This window comes from Homo sapiens, chromosome 1, assembly GCF_000001405.40.
Source record: "Homo sapiens chromosome 1, GRCh38.p14 Primary Assembly".
NCBI classification, from domain to species: Eukaryota; Metazoa; Chordata; class Mammalia; order Primates; family Hominidae; genus Homo; species Homo sapiens.
Window position 1 is genome coordinate 180,663,941 of NC_000001.11, and position 25,185 is coordinate 180,689,125.

At 37.7% G+C, this 25,185-nt stretch overlaps 1 protein-coding gene across 4 annotated transcripts in view; it reads left to right on the forward strand.

The window, feature by feature from the left end:
* Positions 1-25,185, forward strand: part of XPR1 (xenotropic and polytropic retrovirus receptor 1) — a 258,258-nt gene that overhangs the window by 31,919 nt on the left and 201,154 nt on the right. For all 4 annotated transcript variants that reach the window (NR_137330.2, NM_004736.4, NM_001135669.2 and 1 more), the window contains exon 2: positions 18,420-18,471. Coding sequence is in view for 3 of the 4 variants with exons in the window: in NM_004736.4 (NP_004727.2) it covers positions 18,420-18,471 (52 nt within the window). In the remaining variant the exon portion in view is untranslated. The remainder of the gene's footprint in view (positions 1-18,419; positions 18,472-25,185) is intronic.

A 25,185-nucleotide genomic window follows, 5' to 3' on the forward strand; every position in this document is an offset into this window, starting at 1 on the left:
CCAGGGTACCACCAATGTGCACTTATGGCCCAAGCGCTCTTCATTTAGTTTGTGGTGAATGCTGCCAGGCCTGGGACTCACGCTTCAGGTCAGTGGACTCCCCTCTGGCACAGGGTAGGTCTAGAGATGCTGTCTAAGAGCCAAGACTTGGTATTGGGGACCCCAAAAGCCTGCTTAGTGCTCTTTCCTACTGTCGATGAGCTGGTACCTAAGCTCAAGACAAAGTTCCTTTTGCTCTTCCCTCTGTTTTTCTCAAGCTGAAGTGGTCCCTCCTCATAGCCACCACAGCTGTGAATGTGCCGGCTTACACGTGAAGCCAGCATGTCTCAGAGTCTCACCCAAGGCCCATGGTGTATACTACCTGTTTACCACTGCTGCTTATTCAGGGCCCAAGGGTTCTGTGTTCAGCAGATGATGAATCCTGCCAGAACTAGGTTTTTCCCTTCAAGGCAGCTGGTTCCCTTCAGGTCAAGGGTGTGTCTAGAAATGTTGTCTGAGAGCCAGGGCCTGGAATGGGGGGCCTCGTGACACTGCCCAGTGTCCTTTCCTACTGTAGCTCAGTTGGTATCCCAGTTGCAAGATGAAGTCCTCTTTACTCTTCCCTACCCTCTCTTCACACAGAAGGAAGGGGTTTCTTTTGGAGCTTCAAGCCTTGCTGCCTGGCACTGGGAGACAGATGACATGAGCACCCCCTTAGTTGCCCTGGCTGCTGTCTTACTAGGTCACGTGTCCCCCCAGTCGACTGGCTCTGATCCTAGCACAGCACAGGGTCCTGCCTAAGAGTTGCAGTCCTTGTGGCCTAGACCAGCATTCCCCGACATTTTTAGCACCAGGGGCTGGTTTCATGGAAGTCAGTTTTTTCATGGGGTGGAGGAAGAGAAATGGTTTCCGGATGAAACTGTTCTACCTCAGATCATCAGGCATTAGAGTCTCACAAGGAGCATACAACCTAGAATCTCTTCCATGTGCAGTTCACAAGAGTTCGTGCTCCTGTGAGAATCTAATGCTGCCGCTGATCTGATAGGAGGTGGAGCTCAGGCAGTAATGCTCACTTGCCCACCTCGCACTTCCTATATTCATCCATTCTCACACTGTTATGAAGAAATATCCAATTATTAAATATAAAGGAAAGAGGTTTAATTGACTCACAGTTTCCCATTGCTGAGGAGGTCTTAGGAATCTTACAATTGTGGTGGAAGACAAAGGAGAAGTAAACACCTTTTTCAAAGGGTGGCAGGATGGAGTGAGTGCAAGCAAGGGAAATGCCAGACGCTTATAAAACCATCAGACCTCATGAGACTCACTCACTATCGCAAGAACAGCATGGGGAAAACCGCCGCCGTGATCCAAGTACCTCCACCTGGTCCCACCCTTGACATTCGTGGGGATTATGGGAATTTCAATTCAAGATGAGATTTTGGGTGGGGGACACAGCCAAACCATATTACCTCCTGCTGTGTGGCCTGGTTCCTAACAGGCCAAAGACCATTACTGGTCCAGGGCCTTGGGGATTGGGAACCACTGGCCTAGACAGTCTTTCATGTTTATTTAGAGTGCCAGAGCACTTTAGCCCTTGGTGGAAAGGCTTGCTGAAACTCAAGTTCCTGCTACTAGGATAGGCTATTCCTTTCTGGCTAGGGCTGGACTAAATGCTCCTTCCATGGGTGCTGGCTGAATTCAGCCCAGTGTTGGCAGCACTGGGTTCCAATGTGAAGTCTCACAATTGCTGCACTCTCCCTCCCTCAAGTGCAGAGATTCTCTCTCTGTGCCACACAGCTGGCCACACTGCTGGGGTTTGGGGGAGGGGTAGTGTCAGCAATTCAAGATTGTCCGTCCTACCTTCTTCAGTGCCTCTTTTCAGTGATACAGAGTAAAAACCAGTTACTGTGTTTACTCAACTGATTTCTGATTCATATGAAGGCTTTTTTTGTGTAGATAGTCATTAAATTTGATGTTCCTGTGGGGATGATGATTGATGGAGGCTTCTGTTCTACCATCTTGCTCTGCCTCCCCTAACTATGATTTTTGAGTTAATTTTTGTGTGTGGTGTTAGGTAAGGGTCCACCTTCCTTCTTTTGGGTATAGATATCCAATTTTCCCAGTACTATTTGTTGAAAAGACTGTTTTCTCCATTGGGTGATCTTGGCACCCTCATAAAAATTTATTTGACCGTATATAGGAGGGTTTATTTGTGGACTGTATTCCACTGGTTTAACTTTATGTCAGTACTATACTATTTGGATTATTGTAGCTTTGTAGTAAGTTTGGAAATCAGGAAGTGTGAGTCCTCTGGCTTTGTGCTTCTTCAAGATTCTTGTAGCTGTTCAGCGTCCCTTGAGATTCCATATGAATTTGACAATGGGGTTTTTCCATTTCTGCAAGAAAGATGTTTAGGATTTCGATAGGTACTGGACTGAATTGTAGATCGCTTTGAGTAGTATTGACATCTTAACAATATTGAGTCTTATAATACACATGAACGTAGGATGTGTTTCCATTTATTTGTCTTTCATTTCTTTCAGCAACATTTTCTTCTTTATATTGTACATGTCTTTCCCTTATTTGGGTAAGTTAATTACTAAGTATTTTATTCTTTTCGATGCTATTGTTAAATGGAATTGCTGTCATTTTCAGATTGTTTCTGCAATTTGTTGTTTCCTTTTCAGATTGTTGGTTGTTAGTGTATAGAAATGCAACTGATTTTTGCATGTTGACTTCATATCCCACTTTGCGTCAGCTTTGTATCAGCTACTTTGCTGAATTCATTGATTAGTTTTTCTTTTTTTGGTGTGGAATCTTTAGGTTTTTCTACATATAAAATTAGCATATGCAAATACAGATAATTTTACTTTCCAGTTTGGATGTCTCTCATTTCTTTTTCTTGCCTAATTGCCCTGGCTAGAACTTACATTGAACAGAAATGATGAAAATGGGCATCTTTTCCTTGTTCCTGATCTTAGAGGAAACCATTTTCAGTCTTTTTTTTTTTTTCCATGACAAGGTCTCACTCTGTCACCCAGGCTGGAGTGCAGTGGCGCAATCTTGGCTTATTGCAACCTCCACCTCCCAGGCTTAAGTTTTCCTCCCACCTCAGGCTCCCGAGTTGCTGGAACTACAGGTGCATGCCACACTTGGCTAATTTTTGTATTTTTTTTGTAGAGACAGGGTTTCATTATGTTGCATGGCCTGGTCTCAAACTCCTGAACTCAAGCGATCTGCCTGCCTTGGCTTCCCCTTACTGGGATTACAGGCATGAGCCACTGAGCCTGGTCAAATTTCAGTCTTTCACCATTCATTGTGGGTTTTTCAGATATGGCTTTATTATCTTGAGGTAGTTTCTATACCTAGTCTTTTGAATTTTTTTTTAATCATGATTTTGTCAAATGTGTTTATCAATTCAAGTGATCATGTGATATCCCCCCTTCATTCTGTTAATGTGGTGTATTACATTGATTGATTTTCCTGTGTTGAACTATCATTTCAACACAGGAATTATTTCAGTAATAAATCCCACTTGGTCATGGTGTATAATCCTTCTAATATGATGCTGATTTTGGTTTTCTAGTATTTTGTTGAGGATTTTTGCATCAAAGTTCATTGGAGATATTTGCCCATAGTTTTGTTTTCTTGTAGCGTATTTGTCTGACTTTGGTATCAAAGTAATACTGGCCTCATAGCATGAGTTAGGAAGCATTTCCTCCTGTTCAGTTTTTTGGAAAAGTTTGGGAAGGGTTGATATTCTTTAAATGTTGGGTAGAATTCACCAAAGAGCCATGAGGTCCAGGGCTTTTCTTTGTTGGAATTATGGAGTCAATCTTCTTACTATTTATAGATCTGTTCAGATTTTCTGTTTCTTCATGGTTTAGTCTTAACAGGTTTTACCTTCCTAGGAATTTGTCCATTTCATCTGGATTATCCAATTTTTTGGTGCATAGTTGTTCACAGTACTCTTTTATAATACTTTTTATTTCTATAGAATCAGTAGTAATGTCCTTACTTTCATTTCTGATTTTAGCAATTTGTGTCTTCTCTCTTTTATTTCTCAGTCCATCCGGCTAAAGGTTTGTCAGTTTTGTTAATCATTTCAAAGAACCCACTTTTGGTTTCATTAATTTTTCTCTATTGTTTTTCTATTCTCTATTTTTTTTATTTATCTTTGCTTTCATATTTATTTCCCTCTATCTTTTTTTTTTTTTTTTTTTTTTTAAGACAGAGTCTTGCTCTGTTGCCTAGGCTGGAGTGCAGTGGTGTGATCTCAGTCAATTGCAACCTCCACCTTCTGGGCTCAAGTGATTCACCTGCCTCAGCCTCCCAAGTAGTTGGGATTACAAGCATATGCCACCACGTCTGGCTAATTTGTGGGCTTTTAGTAGAGACGGGGTTTCACCATGTTGGCCAGGCTGGTCTTGAACTCCTGACCTCAAGTGATCTGCCTGCCTCAGCCTCCCAAAGCACTGGGATTACAGGCGTGAGCCACTGCACCCAGCCTGTTTCCCTCTTTCTGTTACCCTTGGATTTAGTTTGTTCTTCTTTTTCTAGTTCCTTAAGTTGTCATGTTAGGTTTGAAATCCATTTGAAATTTGAATTTGAAATCCATTCACAGCTATAAATTTGCCCCTAACACTGCTTTCACAGTGTCTCATAGGTTTTGGTATGTTGTGTTTTTATTTTCATTCCTCTCTAAATGTTTTACAATTTTCCTTGTGATTTCTTCTTTGATCCATGAGTTATTGAAGTATGTGTTGTTTACTTTCCATAATTTTGTGAATTTTCAAGTTTTATTTCTGTTAATTGATTTCTAATTTCATACTGTTATGATCAGAGAAAATACTTTCTTTGTATGATTATTTCTTTTAAAGTCTATTGAGACTGAGCACGGTGGCTCACACCTGTAATCCCAGCACTTTGGGAGGCCGAGGTGGGTAGATCACTTGAGGTCAGGAGTTCAGGACCAGCCTGGCCAACATGGTGAAATCCCATCTCTACTAAAAATATAAAAATTAGCTGGGCTGCTGGCAGGCGCCTGTAATCCCAGCTACTTGGGAGGCTGAGGCAGGAGAATCGCTTGAACCCGGGAGGCAGAGGTTGCAGAGAGCTGAGATCGCACCATTGCATTCCAGCCTGAGCAACAAGAGCGAAACTCTGTCTAAAAAAAAAAAAAAAAAAAATCTATTGAGGCTTAATTTCTGGCCTAACAAATAATCTATCCTGGAAAATGTACCACATGCACTTGAAAAGAATGCATATGCTGTTGTCATTGGGTAGAGTGTTACATGTATGTCTGCTGTCTGGTTATTTTATCTATTATTGGTCGAGAGATATTGAAGTCTCCAGCTATTATTGTATAAGTATGTATTTTTTTCTCTTCAATTCTGTTAATTTTTGCTCCATATATTCTGATGGTCTGTCTTTAGTGTATAAATTTTGTTTTGTTTTGTTTTGTTTTTTTCTTTTTTTGTAGAGATGGAGTCTCGCTGTGTCTCCCAGGCTGGAGTGCAGTGGCGCAATCTTGGCTCACTGCAACCTCCGCCTTCCGGGTTCAAGCAATTCTCCTACCTCAGCCTCCTGAGTAGCTGGGATTTACAGGCATGCACCACCATTTAGTAGAGACGGGTTTCACCATGTTGGCCAGGCTGGTCTCAAACTCCTGACCTCAGGTGATCTGCCTGGCTTGGCCTCCCAAAGTGCTGGGATTACAGATGTGAGCCACTGCGTATAAATGTTTATACAGTAGTTCCTGCTTCTCCATGGGGGATGTTCCAAGACCCCCAGTGGATACTTGAAACCATGGATAGTACCAAACCCTATAGGTACTATGTTTTTTCCCATACATATATATGTATGATGAAGTTTAATTTATAAATTAGACACAGTAAGAGATTAACAATAATAACTAATAATAATATAGAACAGTTACAACAATATACCGTGATAAAAGTTATGTGAATGTGGTCTCTGTCTCTTAAAATATCTTAATGTACTGTATTATGGGTAAACAAAACTGTGGAAAGTGAAACTGTATGAGGGGTGACTACTGTAAATGTTATATTTTCTTGCTGTATTGAACCTTTAAAAAAATATGATATTCTCCTTTGTGTCTTTTAAGTTTTTCTTAAAATCTTTGTTGTTACTATTTGTACAAAGTATCTATTTCCATCCTTTCACTTTCAATTTGTTTGTGTCTTTAGATCTAAAGTGTCTTGTAGAAGCTTATAGTTGAATCATGTATTTTTTATCTGTTCTGCCAATTTCTGTTTTTTCATTGGAGAATTTAATTCATTTACATCTAAAGTAATTACTGATACAAGGTGTAATTATGTCATTTTCCAATTTTCTATATTCTTTATAGATTTTTTTGGCCCTTATTTCCTCCTTATGTGTTTAGTTGATTTTTTGTAGTGAAATGTTTACATTTCTTTTTCATTTGCTTTTGTGTGGACTATAAATATTTTCTTTGTGGTTACCATGAGGAGTACATTTAACATCATATAGTTAAAACACTCTAATTTGAATTTTTACCAGCTTAACTTCAATAACATACAAAAACTGCTTCTTTACAACTCCATCTTCATCACTTTCAGTTGTGCAGATGTCATAAAATTACATTTTTATATACTGTGTGCCCAGAAACTTAAAATAATAATTCTTTTGAATGTGTTAGACTCTTAAATCATGTAGAAAATAAAAAATGTAGTTAAGAACTGTTGTTACAATAATACCAGCTTTTATAACTGCCCATATATTTATCTTTATTGAGAACTTTTATTTCTTTATACAGCTTTGAGTTACTGTCTAGTGTTCTTTCATTTCATTTTGCAGGATTCTCTTAAATATTTCTTACAGGGGCAAACCTAGTAGTAACAAACTTCTTCAGCTGTTTGAGAATGTCCTAATTTCTCCCTCAATTTTGAAGGACGTTTTTGCTGAACATAGGATTCTTGGTTGATAGTTTTTCTCTTTTAGTACTTTGACTATGTTGGCAATTTGACCTGGATCTTGAAGGATGGTTAAGATTTACAAGATGGATTAAAAGATGGGGATAAAGGGAAGGGATTCCAGGTGGAGGCAACAGTAAAAAAAGGCAAAGATAGAAGAAATACTGAGGTCTCTAAAATGAGTAATATGTAATTTATTTTGTTTTGAGGGTTAGATTATGAAAATCAAAGTGGTTTTTTCCATTTTGAAAGATAAGCCTAGAAAGGTAGATTGGACCATTCTTTGTGTTTTAGAGGCCAGCAGAGGAGTATGGACTTTATTTTGTGGCCCTGAGGAAATCTTTGCAAGTTTTTGGGTAGGAGAATCGGGCTACTGCTTTGGGAAGATTGATTTGGCAGCATTTTGTAAGATCTGTCAGAGAGATCAAAACTCATAGGTGGTTAAACCAGTTAAAATTCTGTTGAAATAGTTTAGATGGATAGGAGATTATGAAGGCAAAAGAGGATGTGGCAGTGGAATTGACTGTATCAGATCTGTACATGCATGAGTGGAAAGAAAGAAAACGTAATAATGTTAACTACACTAGGATAATGATTTTTATTTTCCTCATGATATATCTGAAGTATCTAGTACAGTGGCTGGCACATAATATATATATATTTTTTTGAGACGGAGTCTCGTCCTGTCACCCAGGCTGGAGTGCAATGGCATGATCTCGGCTCACTGCAGCCCCCACCTCCTGGGTTCAAATGATTCTCTTGCCTCAGCCTTGGGATTACATGTGTCAACTACCAAGCCCAGCTAATTTCTGTATTTTTAGTAGAGACAGGGTCTCACCATGTTGGCCAGGCTGATCTTGAACTCCTGACCTTGTGATCTGCCTGCTTCGGCCTCCCAAAGTGCTGGGATTACAGGTGTGAGTCACCGCACACAGCCAACTTTTTGTTTGTTTGTTTGTTTAAAGAGACAGAGTTTTGCTGGGATTACAGGTGTGAGCCACCGCGTCTAGCCAATATATTCTTAAATATTTGTTGAATGAGTGAGATTGTTTTGACTGAGATTCTTAATCTGTGTGATTTGGATACTGGTGATGACATTAACAGAAATAAAGCCTTAAGAAGAAAATGAATTGAATTTTGAACATTCTGAGTTTGTGTTATCAGACATGTGGCCAAGGATCTAAATTCAGGAGATACCCACATGGAAAGAATAAAAGCCATGTCAATAGATGTCAGAGAATATTAGTGCAAAAATTTGTGTGACTATAACATGACATATTCCAAATTGATTCCTCCTATTACAGATTACATATATCTTATATATTTAATATACATTTAGTTTAATCAGTACAATAAAACTTTAGTGTTGTAACAACTTCTCCATATTGAATTGCCATTTACTGACTGGGTTCTTTTGAATTCCTTGAAAATGAGTCAGGCTTAATGCTTATATACTCTAGGCTTTAGCTTGTTAAGTATGTACAAGAGTATATTAATCTTAAATTTTAATATGAGAATTTGTGTAAGAGTTTTTCTTGGCTTTGCTGATTTTATTTCTATCATTAGAACCAAAGCTAAGTAAGTTTATTTGTATTTTGGGATAGAAATGAAGATTATTTAGTATGTTGATTCTTTGTATAGTACACATGAGAATGCTGGATGTCCTCTTTTGAGGTTTATAATTTGATTTACAAAACTGTCCTGTTTATTTTAGTATTAGGAAAACATTTATAATTTTTAGATGATGAGACAAACCATATTAGATGTAACTGACTTGTACATTATTCACCCAATATTTCTGGTGAAGTAATTTAAAAACAGAATACAAAAAGAGGAAGTGGAAACTGAAAAAGATAATTGGAGAATATTTCTGGGGTATTGTAGATGAGCACATAATGCACATATTTAAAATAATATATTCAAATTTTATTTTTCAAGGTTTCCATTTGGAAAGGTTGTTCAGATAAAAAAGTATCTGTTGTAATTTTATTCAGTTGTGAAACATTATTAACAGGGGTTATGACTCCTTTAAGGTTTATGAGCACAAATATTCCTTGCCCTTTCTCTTCATATGCTTTTCTTTATTTATTTTATTGTTTATTAATCCAGTAGATTGTAAAGTGCTAACTTTGAATGACTGTTGAAGCGAATGAGAGCAACATAACAGTAGACATTTTGTTGATGATTGTCATAATATTTATAGTATGTTGTGTATGAGACATAATGGTTAGCTGATAGGAAGTAGGAGTTTTTTAGCTTCTGATCTCCTTTAAATGGTTTGTGAAACCCATTTGTGCCTTGGAAAGGAGATTAGAGATGATCTAATATGGGTTATTAAAAATGAACAACATGAGAAATTTGTTCTCATTGAATATACATGTTAACTTTTAAGTATACCCTATTTTTACAAAAAAAGGTATATTGTACAAAATTTAAGTAATTTTTTAGATTGAATAATATAATTAGGATACATTATTATTAAAATCATAAACTGGGATCTGCATATATTTTCTTTGGAGTCTGTAGGTTTCCTATGAGAATGAAAGATATTGTGTGTTCACATCAGCAATCATCTAAAAATAAAGTAGGAACATATTTTATATCATCTAGATCAGGGGTCCCCAACCCCAAGGCCGCAGACCAGTACTGGGCCATGGCCTGTTAGGAACTGGGCCACACAGCAGGAGGTAAGCAGTGGGCCAGTGTGTATTACCGCCTGAGCTCTGCCTCCCATCACATCAGCAACGGCGTTAGATTCTCATAGGAGTACGACCCCTATTGTGAACTGTGCACGCAAGGGATCTAGGTTGTGTGCTTTTCATGAGAATCTAACTAATTATCTGAAGTGGAACAGTTTCATTTCCCCTGCCACCCTGGTCTTTGGAATAATTGTCTTCCGTGAAACTAGTCCCTGGAGCCAAAAGGGTTGGGGACCACTGATCTAGATGACCATTTAATAAACCAGTAATACCAGTAGATTGCAGTGCCCATGTGTATGCTTGTTTTGCTATTGGTTCCAGGTAGAACTGTACTACTTTGTGATGAGCTTTTAAGAACTGAGACATATCTCATGCATAAATGATTCATTTTTGGAAAATACAGGGTCAAATAATGTCACAACATTGTGATGTAAGTTTTGTGGTAGTTCATATTCTATTAGCTAACATTTTTGAGCATCTTCCATGTTCTTGGCACTGTTCTAAGTGTTATGCATGTATGATCATGAATCAAACTTAATATTGTTTTAAGAGTTTTTATGATAGTCCTCATTAAAGACTTGTGTGGTATGTGCCATCACTATTCCTGTTTTACAGATGAGGGTGCTAAAGTACAGAGAAGTTAATTTTCCCAAGGTTATACAACTTTTGTTGTTGTTGTTGTTTGTTTTTGTGTTTGTTTTTGAGAGGGAGTCTCGCTGTGTTGCCCAGGCTGGAGTGCAGTGGCACGATCTCGGCTCACCACAACTGCCGCCTCCCGGGTTCAAGTGATTCTCCTGCCTCAGCCTCCTGAGTAGCTGGGATTACAGGCGCCTGCCCCCACGCCTGGCAAATGTTTGTATTTTTAGTAGAGACAAGGTTTCACCATGTTGGCAAGGCTGGTCTTGAACTCCTGACCTCAGGTGACCCACCCTCCTCGGCCTCCAAAAGTGCTGGGATTACAGGCGTGAGCCACTGCACCCAGCCAACTTTTTTTTTTTTTAAGAGACAGGGTTTTTACTATGTTGTGCAGGCTGGACTTGAACTCCCAGTCTCAGGTGGTCCTCCTGCCTCAGCCTCCTTAGAAGCTGGGCCTTCAAATACATACCACCATACCTGGCTAAGAGTTAGTTTTCATACACATTGTCTGACATCATAGCTCCCAGCCACTCTGTTATGCTTGTCTGACATCATAGCAACCAGCCACTCTGTTATGCTGCCTCACTGTAGAGACAAGTACTTGTAGAATTACATCACATTTGACACAGTAATATAGCCATTCCAAGCTAAAAAGAACATGTATATTGGCAGTCAGCACCACATTGATGTTACAATTTGAGATTTCATTTCAGCAAAACACCATTTTTTTTCCTGTCATGGTAATGTTGGTTGAATATTATTGGTTTGTGGTTATCTTTGGATTCAGTTTGTAAGATTTTACTGTTATATGAGTTGTTATAAGTACTAGGAGTTTGTTCTAGTTTACATTTATATATATTTTAATAACATTATGTAAACCAAACAGTATCTGAGACATGTCTTAATCAATTTAGAAGTTTATTTTACCAAGTTTAAGACATGCCTGGAAGAAATAAACACAGAATCACAGAAACAGTCTGTGGTCTGTGTCTTTCTCCAAAGATAATTCTGAGGGCTTCAATATTTAAAGGGGAAAAATGGGCTGGAGGAGAAAGAGGGAGGGTATGGTAATCCCCATGTTGCAAAAGAAAAGGAGCAGACAGGGTAATAGTCAATTATGTATTAGTCTCTTGCTCAGTAAAGCAGCACTTTACATAAGATAAGGATAACATAGAGTAGCTACCTCTGGAGATATTTAACCTTTTATCTGTAGCTATCTGCCGAGGAACAAAAGGAAACACCTTTTCTTATATTACTTAGTTTTCAGCTTAATTTTTTTCTTTTGGCATAGTGAATTGGGGTCACAAGTTTTTATTTTCCTTTCACAATTATAACAGAAATAAGTTAACAGAAATTAGAGTAGGGATGCTGATGCAAAGGATTGCTTTTAATCCTTTGGAAATCAAAGAACTCACGTAATGCATATGAATACACATTGATTTATTTACTATACAAATTCGGAGTTTTATATAAAGTGCTGGATTTCCTTAAACAGCATGAGTTGAGGAAACTCTTTTAATTTGTTGTTTTGTGACTTGGATGTATGGCTCCCAACCCAGGCATGTGGTCTGGGTGACTCATAGACAAACAGTCCATAGGTAATAATATAGACAATACTTCAGAGGGTTTGTTTCCTCCCTTGTTTCTGATTGAGGACTATTCTCTTGTTCACAGGCACAGAATGTTATCTTACTCATGGAGTTCTTTTAGAGATCATTACTACCAAAAATATAGGGCCTCTTAATCAGATGAACACAAAGTAGTAAGAAGCAAAAAGAGTTCCGTATGATTTCAGTGAGATTTGTCTTGACTTAAACGAAAATTTGATTCAGTTTTATAATCAGAATGAAGACTCGTCATTTTTCTCCTTATAAAATTCAAATTCATCATCTTCAGAATTTAATTTGGAAAGGTTTCCTTTTGCAAATTAAATTTATGTGTATTACATATCAGAGATTCTACTTAATGTGCTTTGTTAATCATCTTTAAAGTAATTTCTCCAGAGAAGGAATGCTTTTGAATTCAATAACTATTTATTGAGCGCCTACTGTGTATAAGTCACTGCAAGTCATTGGTGATGTATTTGGTTCCTGACAGCATTATTTAATTTTGCTACACATTCCTACTATACCCAAGAAGTGGAAGAACTTCATTCAAACATTTGAATCTCTGATATTATTTGTTCCTATAATGGATTTATTTCTGTAACTATTCTCTGGCTGGACCAATTTTTCCTTTCTCGTTACATTTTTCTGGTACTTTTTTTGTTTTTAACTTCTAGAGATTTACTCTGATTTTAGCAATCTTTTGTTCATTTACCTTCTGGAAATATCCTATTGAAGAACCAAAATATTACCACTACTCTATACTTGTAGAGGACTTTAATATAAAATTCTAATGTGGGTACAAAAGACTTTCTGATGTTTGATAAGCTCTTCTTGACTAACTTCTTATTTTAGTCTGGCAGTTAATGTTCCCTGAGACACAAGAAATTATAAAGAAAATACTGAGTATATATACATTTTTTAAGAAGAGGTTTCATAATTTTGTCATATTCAGCCTCATATTTACAGAATATTAATTCTTAAACATGTTTGTATGTTGAATTAATAACATGTTTAAGAATGTGATCTTAGAAAATGTAATGTAATGTAATCTTAGAAAAGATGTGGTCCATTAATAAAGGTTTTCCCATAAGGTTAATCTGTGGTGTGGTGTTTTTTGTTTTTGGGTGGGGTGGGGTACTGGTTTGAACAGAATAGTATGATGTTTGATGACACCACTTCTGGGACCAAATGTGTTATCTTTTTTGTGACACTAGAAACCAAATTGCTAACATTAGCTGGGTGTCCAACAATTGAGTTCAATTCTGACACTGACTACCTGGAGGTAGTACAGATCCCACAGGTTAAGGGCTCCATTTCATAAGACCGCCCCTGCTTAAGATGCTAGCTGCAAATGGGATGCCCAGGCTACCCACATTTTGTAACTGTCCAACTGGTTCTCCTTGCTCACTGCCTAGACAGAGCCAATTTATTAAGACAGGAAAATTGCAATAGCGAAAGAGTTTAATTCACATAGAACCGTCTATACAGGAGACCTGAGTTTTATTATTACTCAAATCAGTCTCCCTGAAAATTCGGGGACTGGAGTTTATAAGGATAATTTGGTGGGTAGTAAGCCAGTAAATCGGGAGTGCTGATTGGTTGGGTTGGAGATAAAATCATAGAGAGTCAAAGCTGTCCTCTTGGTGCTGAATCAGTTCCTGAGTGGGGGCCATAAGACCAGATGAGCCAGTTTATTGATCTGGGTGGTGCCAGCTCAGAGGACAGGGTCTGCAAAGTATCTCAGGCACTGATCTTAGTTTTATAATAGCGATGTTATCCCCAAGAGCAATTTGGGGAGGTTCAGAATCTTGCAGCCTCCAGCTGCATGACTTCTAAACCATAATTTCTAATCTTGTGACTAGTTAGTACTACAAAGACAGTCTAGTCTCCAGGCAAGAAGGTAGTTTGTTTTGGGAAAGGGTTAATATAATCTTTGTTTCAAAGTTGCACTATAAACTACGTTCCTCCCAAAGTGGCACTATAAACTACGTTCCTCCCAAAGTTAGTTTGGTCTATGCCCTGGAATGAACAAGGACAATTTGGAGGTTAGAAGCAAGGTAGAGTTGGTTAGATCAGATCTTTTGTACTGTAATAATTTTCTCAGTTATAGTTTTTGCAAAGGTGTTTTCAGTTTCTGCCTGGCTGACTGCAGATTTGAGGATTCCCATGATCCCCACCTCCAGGTTTGATAATTTGCTAGAACTACCCATAGTACTTAGGAAAGCACTGTACTTACCATTACAGATGTATTATAAAGGATGCAACTTAAAAACAGCCTAATGGAGAGATGCATAGTGCAAGATGTTAGGATGGAGATGGCACAGAGCCTGCACATTCATGTGTTCACCAACTTGGAAGCTCTCTGAACCTTGATGTTTAAGGGTTTTTATGGTGGTTTCACTACATAGGCACAGTTGATTAAATCCTATTCTATTAGTGATTGAACTCAGTCTTCAATCCTTCTCCCTTCTTCAGAGGTCTGGAGGTGGGGCTGAAAGTTCTAATCCTCTAATCACTTGATTTTTTTTGGTGACCAGCCACCATGAAGCATCTAGGACCCTTTGTCCCACTGCCTCCCATTGAGCTATCTCATTAGTATATAAAAGACAGTACATTCCAAAGGTTTTTGGAGCTCTATGCCGGGTACTGGACACAAAGACCAAATATTAATTTTTTATTATACCTCAGTTGCATTATTGTATTGCTTCAAATTCTGTATAAGTAGTGAATATTACTGAATGTTTTTGGATTTAAGCATATGTGACATTAAAAATTTTTGTACATCATACATCATTTTCCATTTTTGTACATCCAACATTTTAATAAAACATTGGTTAAAATGAACAAAAATACATCAATTTAAAAATTTTAATTTCTGTTGTTTCATTGGAAATTTTTTACTGTATATTATTAGGCCTGGTTAGTCATGGATCTGACAGTTTGGCCACTAATCCAAAGCAAATAGTAAATTCACTTGGGAAGAATATAATTTACTGGACTTGAGTATCTGTACTCTTTTCTTTAAAAGAGTGGGTTACCCTGGAAGTTTACTTCTTCCTTTTTGGTATTTATATGCTTGAATATTTGTGCTGGTTCGGCCCGGCATGGTGGCTCACGCCTGTAATCCCAGCACTTTAGGAGGCCGAGGCGGGTGGATCACGAGGTCAGGAGATCGAGACCATCCTGGCTAACATGGTGAAACCCCGTCTCTACTAAAAATACAAAAAATTAGCCAGGCATGGTGGTGCACACCTGTAGTCCCAGCTACTCGGGAGGCTGAGGCAGGAGAATGGCGTGAACCCAGGAGGCGGAGCTTGCAGTGAGCCGAGATGGCGCCACTGCACTCCAGCCTGGGTGACAGAGCGAGACTCCATCTCAAAAAACAAAAAAACAAACAAACAAAAAAAACGGTGGGTTACCATGGAAGTTTACTTCTTCCTTTTTGGTATTTATATGCTTGAATATTTGTGCTGGTTCTGGGGAGGGACCTTTTTGCCTTCAGGGGACATTCGGCAATGTTTAGTTTTCACAGCTGGAGGGTGAGGATTGATACTGTTATCTAACGGGTCTCTAGATGCCGGGAATGCTGCTAAAAATTCTATAATGCGCAGAGCAGCCCCCACAGCAAAAAAATTATCTAGCCCAAAATGCTAATGTTACTGAGTTTGAGGAATCCTGCTGTAGGCCAATATGGGCATCACCAGTCTTTAGATGGTATTTCAAGCTTTGAAGCTATGGATATCCTCATCCACTGAACTGATTTTACCATTTTGATAGATACAGAGAACTATTTCTCATTCTTGTTCCCCAATGACTTATTGAGAGATTAAACTGCAGCCATCCAGATTACCTAAATATGGTTGTTAGCTAATCTAGAGTGTGGTTTTGGGGGAAAAAACAAAAACAAAAACAAACTATTACTATAAAGTAAACCGATACTGTCTTTATAGTCCTAAACCCTTAGGGAAGACTTTCCAGATCATCACTGAAAAATGCTTTAGGACATTGGTCTGGGAAAAGATTTCATGAGTAAGAACTCAAAATCACAGGCAACAAAAGAAAAAAAATAAATGGGTTTATGTCAAACTACAAAGCTTCTGGACAGCAAAGGAAACAGAGTGAAAAAAGAACCTATAAAATGAGAGAAAATATCTGGACACTACTCACACTACAGGGGATTAATATCTAGAATATACAAGGAACTCAAACATCTTAACAGCAAAAAAAAATTGATTTAAAAATGGGCAAGTGATCTGAACAGACATTTCTCAAAAGACGTACAAGTGGCTAACAAATAAAGAAAATGCTTAACATCACTCATCATCAAAGAAATACAAATCAAAACCACAGTGAGGTATCATCTCACCCCAGTTAGGCTGTTATCAAAACGACAAAAAACAAAACAAAACAAAACAAAAACAATAAAAATGCTAGTAAGGATGCAGAGAAAAAAGAAGTCTTATACTCGGTGGGAATGTAAACTAGTACAGCTACTATGGAGAACAGTATGGAGATTCCTCAAATAACTACAAATAGAACCTTTTTTTTTTTTTTTTTTTTTTTTTGTGAGGTGGAGTCTCGCTCTGTCGCCAGACTGGGATGCAGTGGTGCGATCTTGGGTCATTGCAACCTCTGCCTCCCGGGTTCAAGCGATTCTCCTGTCTCAGCCTCCCGAGTAGCTGGGACTACAGGCACATGCCCCACACCCAGCTAATTTTTGTATTTTTAGTAGAGACGGGGTTTCACCATGTTGGCCAGGATGGTCTCGATCTTTTGACCTCGTGATCCGCTCTCCTCGGCCTCCCAAAGTGCTGGGATTGCAGGCGTGAGCACTGCGCCCGGCCCAAATAGAACTATTAATAAGATATGAATCAGCAATCCCACTACTGGGCATTTATCCAAAGGAAAGGAAGTCAGTAAACCAAAGAGACATCTGTACCCCTATGCTTATTGCAACACTAACTAGTAGCCAAGATAGGGAATCAACCTAGGTGTCCAACAACAAATGAATGGCTAAAGAAGATGTGATGTATATATACACAAAGGAACATTATTCAGTATAAAAAGAATGAAATTCTATCATTTGTGACAACATGAATGGAACTAGAAGACATTAGGTTAAGTGAAATAAGCCAGGAACAGAAAGTTAAACACCACATGTTCTCACTCATATGTGGAACCTAAGAATAGTTGATCTCATAGAAATAAAAAGTAGTGCAGAGAATACTAGAGGCTGGGAAGGGAAGAGGGCAGGTCAGAGGATAGGGAGAGATTTGTTAAAGGATATAGAATTACAGCTAGATAGGAGGAATAAATTCTAGTGGTCTGTACCACTGTAGGCTGACTATAGTTAACAATAGTATATAGTTTCAAATACCTAGAAGGAGGATATTGAATGTTCTCAACACAAAAAAATTATAGATGTTTTAGATGATGGATATCCTAATTACCCTGATCTGATCACTATAGACCATATGTATTGAAATATCACTGTGTACCCCAGGCATATGTACAGTTATTATTTGTGGATTAAAAATAAAATTTCTGGCCGGGTGCAGTGGCTCACGCCTGTAATCCCAGCACTTTGGGAGGCCGAGGAGGGCGGATCATGAGGTCAGGAGATCGAGACCATCCTGGCTAACACGGTGAAACTCTGTCTCTACTAAGAAATACAAAAAATTAGCCGAGCGTGGTGGCGGGCGCCTGTAGTCCCAGCTACTTGGGAGGCTGAGGCAGGAGAATGGCATAAACCTGGGAGGCAGAGCTTGCAGTGAGCTGAGATCGTGCCACTGCACTCCAGCCTGGGCGACAGAGCAAGACTAAATAAATAAATAAAATAAAATTTCTTTTTAAAATTTATTTATTTTTGAGACAGAGCCTTACTCTCTCTCCCAGGCTGGGGTGTGGTAGCACAGTCTTGGCTGACTGCAACTTCCGCCTCCTGGGTTCAAGCGATCCTCCCACCTCAGCCTTCTGAGTAGCTAGGGCATCACCATGCCTGGCTATAAAAAATAAAATTTCATTAAAAAAAGTATTGAAGATGAAAAGAGTTCTGGAGAATGGTTGCACAACAATGTGAATGTACTTAACACTATTGAACTGTACATTTAAATATAGTTAAAATGGTGAATTTTATGTTACATGTACCTTACTACAATTTTAAAAAGATACTTGTATCCAGTTCCTGATAGTTTCTTATGCAGTCTACTAGTTTTTTTCTCTAGGACTTTTGTTCTGTTTTCTTCAGTGTTTTTTCTTAGTCAAGAGAGTTTATAATCTCTCAGGTGATTTTTCATCCTTTTCCAGCTGTTCCTTAATTTTAAAGTATACAAGTTAGCCCTCATCTTAAAAATTGGACAATACTGGATTGATGTGAAGTTATAATGTTTGGATTTTAGTTTATAAATGTTAATTGAAGTATTTATCAATTTAGGGAGCTATGAGTGGTCATTGAATATTGAAAAAGAACTGTTTAGCTTCAGATACATTCAGTATAAAGCTTACTCATGATTTCATATATTGTTTTTCTTTCTTTCTAATAGGCTTTCAAGGATATGCTGTATTCAGCTCAGGACCAGGCACCTTCTGTGGAAGGTAAGATGAATTAACCCTTAAGTTTAGTCACAGAAAACCTCTTTTTAAGGAAAGATATTTTGTACTGCAGAGTATAAAACTAATATGATAACCTGTCCTATTATATAGGTCTTTTTTTCCCTTTTAATAATATATATTATGATTATTTTATATTTTATTCTAAATTTTTCTCTTGTCTAGCTCACCTTTACCCTATGACGGATCTTTTACTATGTCTTTGTGTCACCTTAGGACTGTGAATCGTATATATTGGTTTAGTCAGAAGTTTTTCTGTGTAATGCTTCCTTGCCTTCCCTCCCCTCCCCTCCTTCCTCCGTCCATAAATTACACAACATAGCTTTTCCTTTCTATTTATGTCATGCCTTTAGAGTGGGACCAGTAAAACAATGGAGAATGTTTACAATGGATGTGTGTGTGTGTGCGTGTGTGTGTGTGTGTGTGTAAGCATGTTTATGTATACATGTGTACATGTTCTCGTGTCAGTAAATAGGAGCTAATTCAACAACTATTCTTGAGGGAGAATGTTCCTTCTCAGGCTGGATATTCTTTTTTATTTTATTTTATTTTATTATTACTATACTTTAAGTTTTAGGGTACATGTGCACAATGTGCAGGTTTGTTACATATGTATACATGTGCCATGTTGGTGTGCTGCACCCATTAACTCGTCGTTTAGCATTAGGTATATCTCCTAATGCTATCCCTCCCCCCACCCCACAACAGTCCCTGGTGTGTGATGTTCCCCTTCCTGTGACCATGTGTTCTCATTGTTCAATTCCCACCTATGAGTGAGAACATGTGGTGTTTGGTTTTTTGTCCTTGCGATAGTTTGCTGAGAATGATGGTTTCCAGTTTCATCCATGACCCTACAAAGGACATGAACTCATCATTTTTTATGGCTGCATAGTATTCCATGGTGTATCTGTGCCACATTTTCTTAATCCAGTCTATTGTTGTTGGACATTTGGGTTGGTTCCAAGTCTTTGCTATTGTGAATAGTGCTGCTATAAACATACGTGTGCATGTGTCTTTATAGCAGCGTGATTTATAATCCTTTGGGTATATACCCAGTAATGGGATGGCTGGGTCAAATGGTATTTCTAGTTGTAGATCCCTGAGGAATCACCACACCGACTTCCACAATGGTTGAACTAGTTTATGGTCCCACCGACAGTGTAAAAGTGTTCCTATTTCTCCACATCCTCTCCAGCACCTGTTGTTTCCTGACTTTTTAATGATCATCATTCTAACTGGTGTGAGATGGTATCCCATTGTGGTTTTGATTTGCATTTCTCTGATGGCCAGTGATGATGAGCATTTTTTCATGTGTTTTTTGGCTGCATAAATGTCTTCTTTTGAGAAGTGTCTGTTCATATCCTTTGCCCACTTTTTGATGGGGTTGTTTTTTTCTTGTAAATTTGTTTCAGTTCATTGTAGATTCTGGATATTAGCCCTTTGTCAGATGAGCAGGTTGCAAAAATTTTCTCCCATTCTGTAGGTTGCCTGTTCACTCTGATGGTAGTTTCTTTTGCTGTGCAGAAGCTCTTTAGTTTAATTCGATCCCATTTGTCAATTTTGGCTTTTGTTGCCATTGCTTTTGGTGTTTTAGACATGAAGTCCTTGCCCATGCCTATGTCCTGAATTACCGGTATTGCCTAGGTTTTCTTCTAGGGTTTTTATGGTTTTAGGTCTGACATTTAAGTCTTTAATCCATCTTGAATTAATTTTTCTATAAGGTGTAAGGAAGGGATCCAGTTTCAGCTTTCTACATATGGCTAGCCAGTTTTCCCAGCACCATTTATTAAATAGAGAATCCTTTCCCCATTGCTTGTTTTTGTCAGGTTTGTCAAAGATCAGATGGTTGTAGATATGCGGCATTATTTCTGAGGGCTCTGTGCTGTTCCATTGATCTATATCTCTGTTTTGGTACCAGTACCATGCTGTTTTGGTCCAGTACCATGCTGTTTTGGTTACTGTAGCCTTGTAGTATAGTTTGAAGTCAGGTAGCGTGATGCCTCCGGCTTTCTTCTTTTGGCTTAGGATTGACTTGGCGATGCGGGCTCTTTTTTGGTTCCATATGAACTTTAAAGTAGTTTTTTCCAATTCTGTGAAGAAAGGCATTGGTAGCTTGATGGGGATGGCATTGAATCTGTAAATTACCTTGGGCAGTATGGCCATTTTCACAATATTGATTCTTCCTACCCATGAGCATGGAATGTTCTTCCATTTTTTTGTATCCTCTTTTATTTGATTGAGCAGTGGTTTGTAGTTCTCCCTGAAGAGGTCCTTCACATCCCTTTTAAGTTGGATTCCTAGGTATTTTATTCTCTTTGAAGCAATGGTGAATGGGAGTTCACTCATGATTTGGCTCTCTGTTTGTCTGTTATTGGTGTATAACAATGCTTGTGATTTTTGTACATTGATTCTGTATCCTGAGACTTTGCTGAAGTTGCTTATCAGCTTGAGATTCTGGGCTGAGACGATGAGGTTTTCTAGATATACAATCATGTCATCTGCAAACAGGGACAATTTGACTTCCTCTTTTCCTAATTGAATACCCTTTATTTCCTTCTCCTGCCTGATTGCCCTGGCCAGAACTTCCAACACTATGTTGAATAGGAGCGGTGAGAGAGGGCATCCCTGTCTTGTGCCAGTTTTCAAAGGGAATGCTTCCAGTTTTTGCCCATTCAGTATGATATTGGCTGTGGGTTTGTCATAGATAGCTCTTATTATTTTGAGATACGTCCCATCAATACCTAATTTATTGAGAGTTTTTAGCATGAAGCGTTGTTGAATTTTGTCAATGGCCTTTTCTGCATCTATTGAGATAATCATGTGATTTTTGTCTTTGGTTCTGTTTATATGTTGGATTACATTTATTGATTTGCGTATGTTGAACCAGCCTTGCATCCCAGGGTTGAAGCCCACTTGATCATGGTGGATAAGCTTTTTGATGTGCTGCTGGATTTGGTTTGTCAGTATTTTATTGAGGATTTTTGCATCGATGTTCATGAAGGATATTGGTCTAAAATTCTCTTTTTTTGTTGTGTCTCTGCCAGGCTTTGGTATCAGGATGATGCTGGCCTCATAAAATGAGTTAGGGAGGATTCCCTCTTTTTCTATTGATTGGAATAGTTTCAGAAGGAATGGTACCAGCTCCTCTTTGTACCTCTGGTAGAATTCGGCTGTGAATCCATCTGGTCCTGGACTTTTTTTGGTTGGTAAGCTATTGATTATTGCCTCAATTTCAGAGCCTGTTATTGGTCTATTCAGAGATTCAACTTCTTCATGGTTTAGTCTTGGGGAGGATGTATGTGTCGAGGAATTTATCCATTTCTTCTAGATTTTCTAGTTTATGTGCGTAGAGGTGTTTATAGTATTCTCTGGTGGTAGTTTGTATTTCTGTGGGATCGGTGGTGATATCCCCTTTATCATTTTTTATTGTGTCTATTTGATTCTTCTCTCTTTTCTTCTTTATTAGTCTTACTAGTGGTCTATCAATTTTGTTGATCTTTTCAAAAAACCAGCTCCTGGATTCATTAATTTTTGAAGGGTTTTTTTTGTCTCTATTTCCTTCAGTTCTGCTCTGATCTTAGTTATTTCTTGCCTTCTGCTAGCTTTTGAATGTGTTTGCTCTTGCTTTTCTAGTTCTTTTAATCGTGGTGTTAGGGTGTCAATTTTAGATCTTTCCTGCTTTCTCTTGTGGGCATTTAGTGCTATAAATTTTCCTCTACACACTGCTTTGAATGTGTCCCAGAGATTCTGGTATGTTGTGTCTTTGTTCTCGCTGGTTTCAAAGAACATCTTTATTTCTGCCTTCATTTTGTTATGTACCCAGTAGTCATTCAGGAGCAGGTTGTTCAGTTTCCATGTAGTTGAGCGGTTTTGAGTGAGTTTCTTAATCCTGAGTTCTAGTTTGATTGCACTGTGGTCTGAGAGACAGTTTGTTATAATTTCTGTTCTTTTACATTTGCTGAGGAGTGCTTTACTTCCAACTATGTGGTCAGTTTTGGAGTAGGTGTGGTGTGGTGCTGAAAAGAATGTATATTCTGTTATTTGGGGTGGAGAGTTCTGTAGATGTCTATTAGGTCCGCTTGGTGCAGAGCTGAGTTCAATTCCTGGGTATCCTTGTTAGCTTTCTGTCTCGTTGATCTGTCTGATGTTGACAGTGGGGTGTTAAAGTCTCCCATTGCTGGATATTGTTTTAACACTCCACATCAGGTTTTTAAAATGAGAGTTGAGTGCAAAAAAATATATATCGAGAATATTCTAAGTTGGATGTACAGAATAATACCTTTATAAGACACCAAATTCTATGAAGTTATTCTAGTGACAAGCTATTAGAGACTTGTTCTTATGACAAAAGTTAATGAAGTTATTTAATAAAACTGTAGATTTATAGTAGAAAGTCTCATTTCATCAATTATATAAAAATATCCATCTTTCATCTCAAACCATTCTGAATTAAAAATGTATTTCCTCTGAACGTGTAAAAATCTCTTGCCTTATATTAAGTCAGGAATTGGCATTTAGTTTCATGTCACTGAATTTTAGACTATAATATATTTAATTCTCTAATATTTAACTCAAGACACTTAAGGTTTAACAGTAAGTTTAGTTTTCTGTTGGGTTATCTTTTATTTTATATGCCGTAAAGAATACCTCCTTTAACTATTTTTAAAATATAAGAAAAATGAAATTCCATAGAAGCTGAACTGATTCCTTACCCTGAGTAAGTTGCTTTAATATTGGTTCTCTTATTTTACTATTCTGTTTGTAACAAAGATACTCTGAGATATATTGAAAATGATGATGATATTTATTCATCCCCTTTATGCTGGAGCATGTTTCTTGTATTTTTTAAATTTTCTTTCAGCTATTATTAGAGAAAAACTGAATTTTGTGAAAGTACGCTCAAAATGACAAATATTTATAGTTAAGAGCCTTTTCTTTCATTATCCAGAGACATTAACTTCTTTGGGCCATGTTATAGGGGAAGTATTGTAGGAACATGTACTACTTTCACAAGAAAAACATCTGCACACATTCTTTCTTTATACTTTCATGTAAACATACTATAAAACTAGTTTTATAGTGAATTAGTAGCTTCTTAGTAGGACATTTCAGGGTGGTACCTTTACTTCATTGATAAAATAGGCTTTTTCTCAAAAGTAAGTCAACAAAACAATTTCAGTGTATTGAGAAATTATGTTTACTTTAATTTGCTCTCTGTTACTCAAACAAATAAACACATTCAAATTCCTAGTTGTTTTGTTTCGTCCTTTGAGAGTGAATTTCATGAATCAGTTATACATTGCAAACAAATCTCTATTTAAAATAAATGTTTTATGATTATAACTAGGAAGTGCTAATATTCTGAAATAATATAGATAAGGATTTACTCTCAGGTATTCCTTATCAATATATATGTAAATATATATTTTAGATATATTTCTGATATATTTCATTATCTACTCTTCTATGTAATCACTGGTATTTCTGATATAATTCTGATATATTTCATTACCTACTCTTCTATGTAATCACTGGTATTTTTGTGTAACCATTTACATTGGAAATATGTGACTGAGATGTTGACTTAGAATTCTGTGTTACAGATTATACAGTATGTTATTAATTTTTTTTTTTTTTTTTTTGAGACAGTGTCTTGCTCTCTCTCCCAGGCTGGAGTGCAGTGGCGTGATCTCGGCTCGCTGCAACTTCCGCCTCCTGGGGGTTCAAGTGATTCTCCTGCCTCAGCCTCCTGTGTGGCTGGGATTACAGGTGCCTGCCACCATGCCCGACTAATTTTTGTATTTTTAGTAGAGATGGGGTTTTGCCATGTTAACCTGCCTGGCCAACATGGCCAGTTTTGCCATGTTGGCCAGGCTGGTCTCGAACTCCTGACCTCAAGTGATCCACCCACCTTGGCCTCCCAAAGTGCTAGGATTACAGGTGTGAGCCACTGCGCCCAGCCTATTGATTTTTTAAATAATGCATATTTAAATTTTTACTATTTTGTTATCCTTTTCTGCAGAAAGACTTGTAAATATAGAATACATGGCAGTAGATTAGGGGATTAAAGTGACTAGAATTGTGGGGTTTTTATAATTCCTGATGTCAGTGAGTATACTACCTCTTGATATTTGTAACAAATTATATTAAACTGCAAACTGGAGGTTTCCCATCAGTGCATCAGTCAGTCATACCTTAATAATCAGGATTGTTCTGAGGCAAGATAATTTTTTACCTTTATAGGTTAAGTATAACAATTCTTACATATAGTACCCGTTTGACATTGTGTCAAGTTTTCAGTGATACAGAACTGTGGAAAATATAAAGTGAAATATCTTTTACCTTTTCTCATGCTCCCCACTCCCAGTTTGCTGTCTCAGTAATTTTATGGAATTAATCTACGTGGGTAAATGCTCACATCCTTACATCTTTATTTTTTTTTAAACTGCCTGTCTTCCCTCTTTCCCAGGATACTTTTGAAATTAGATATATATAAATTACATGCTGTATTTGATTAATCTATTTTAGTTTTTACTCTGAATTAATTGCAAGGAAAGCTTCAAACTTCATTTTGTCGTATTCTTTTTAAAATGTATTTTTTGTTTAAAAGCATAAGTGTTTTCTACTCTTTATTTGTGATGGAAAAATATGAGAATCCAATAGTCAACCAAGGTAACGGAACTAAGAAATTGACATTTC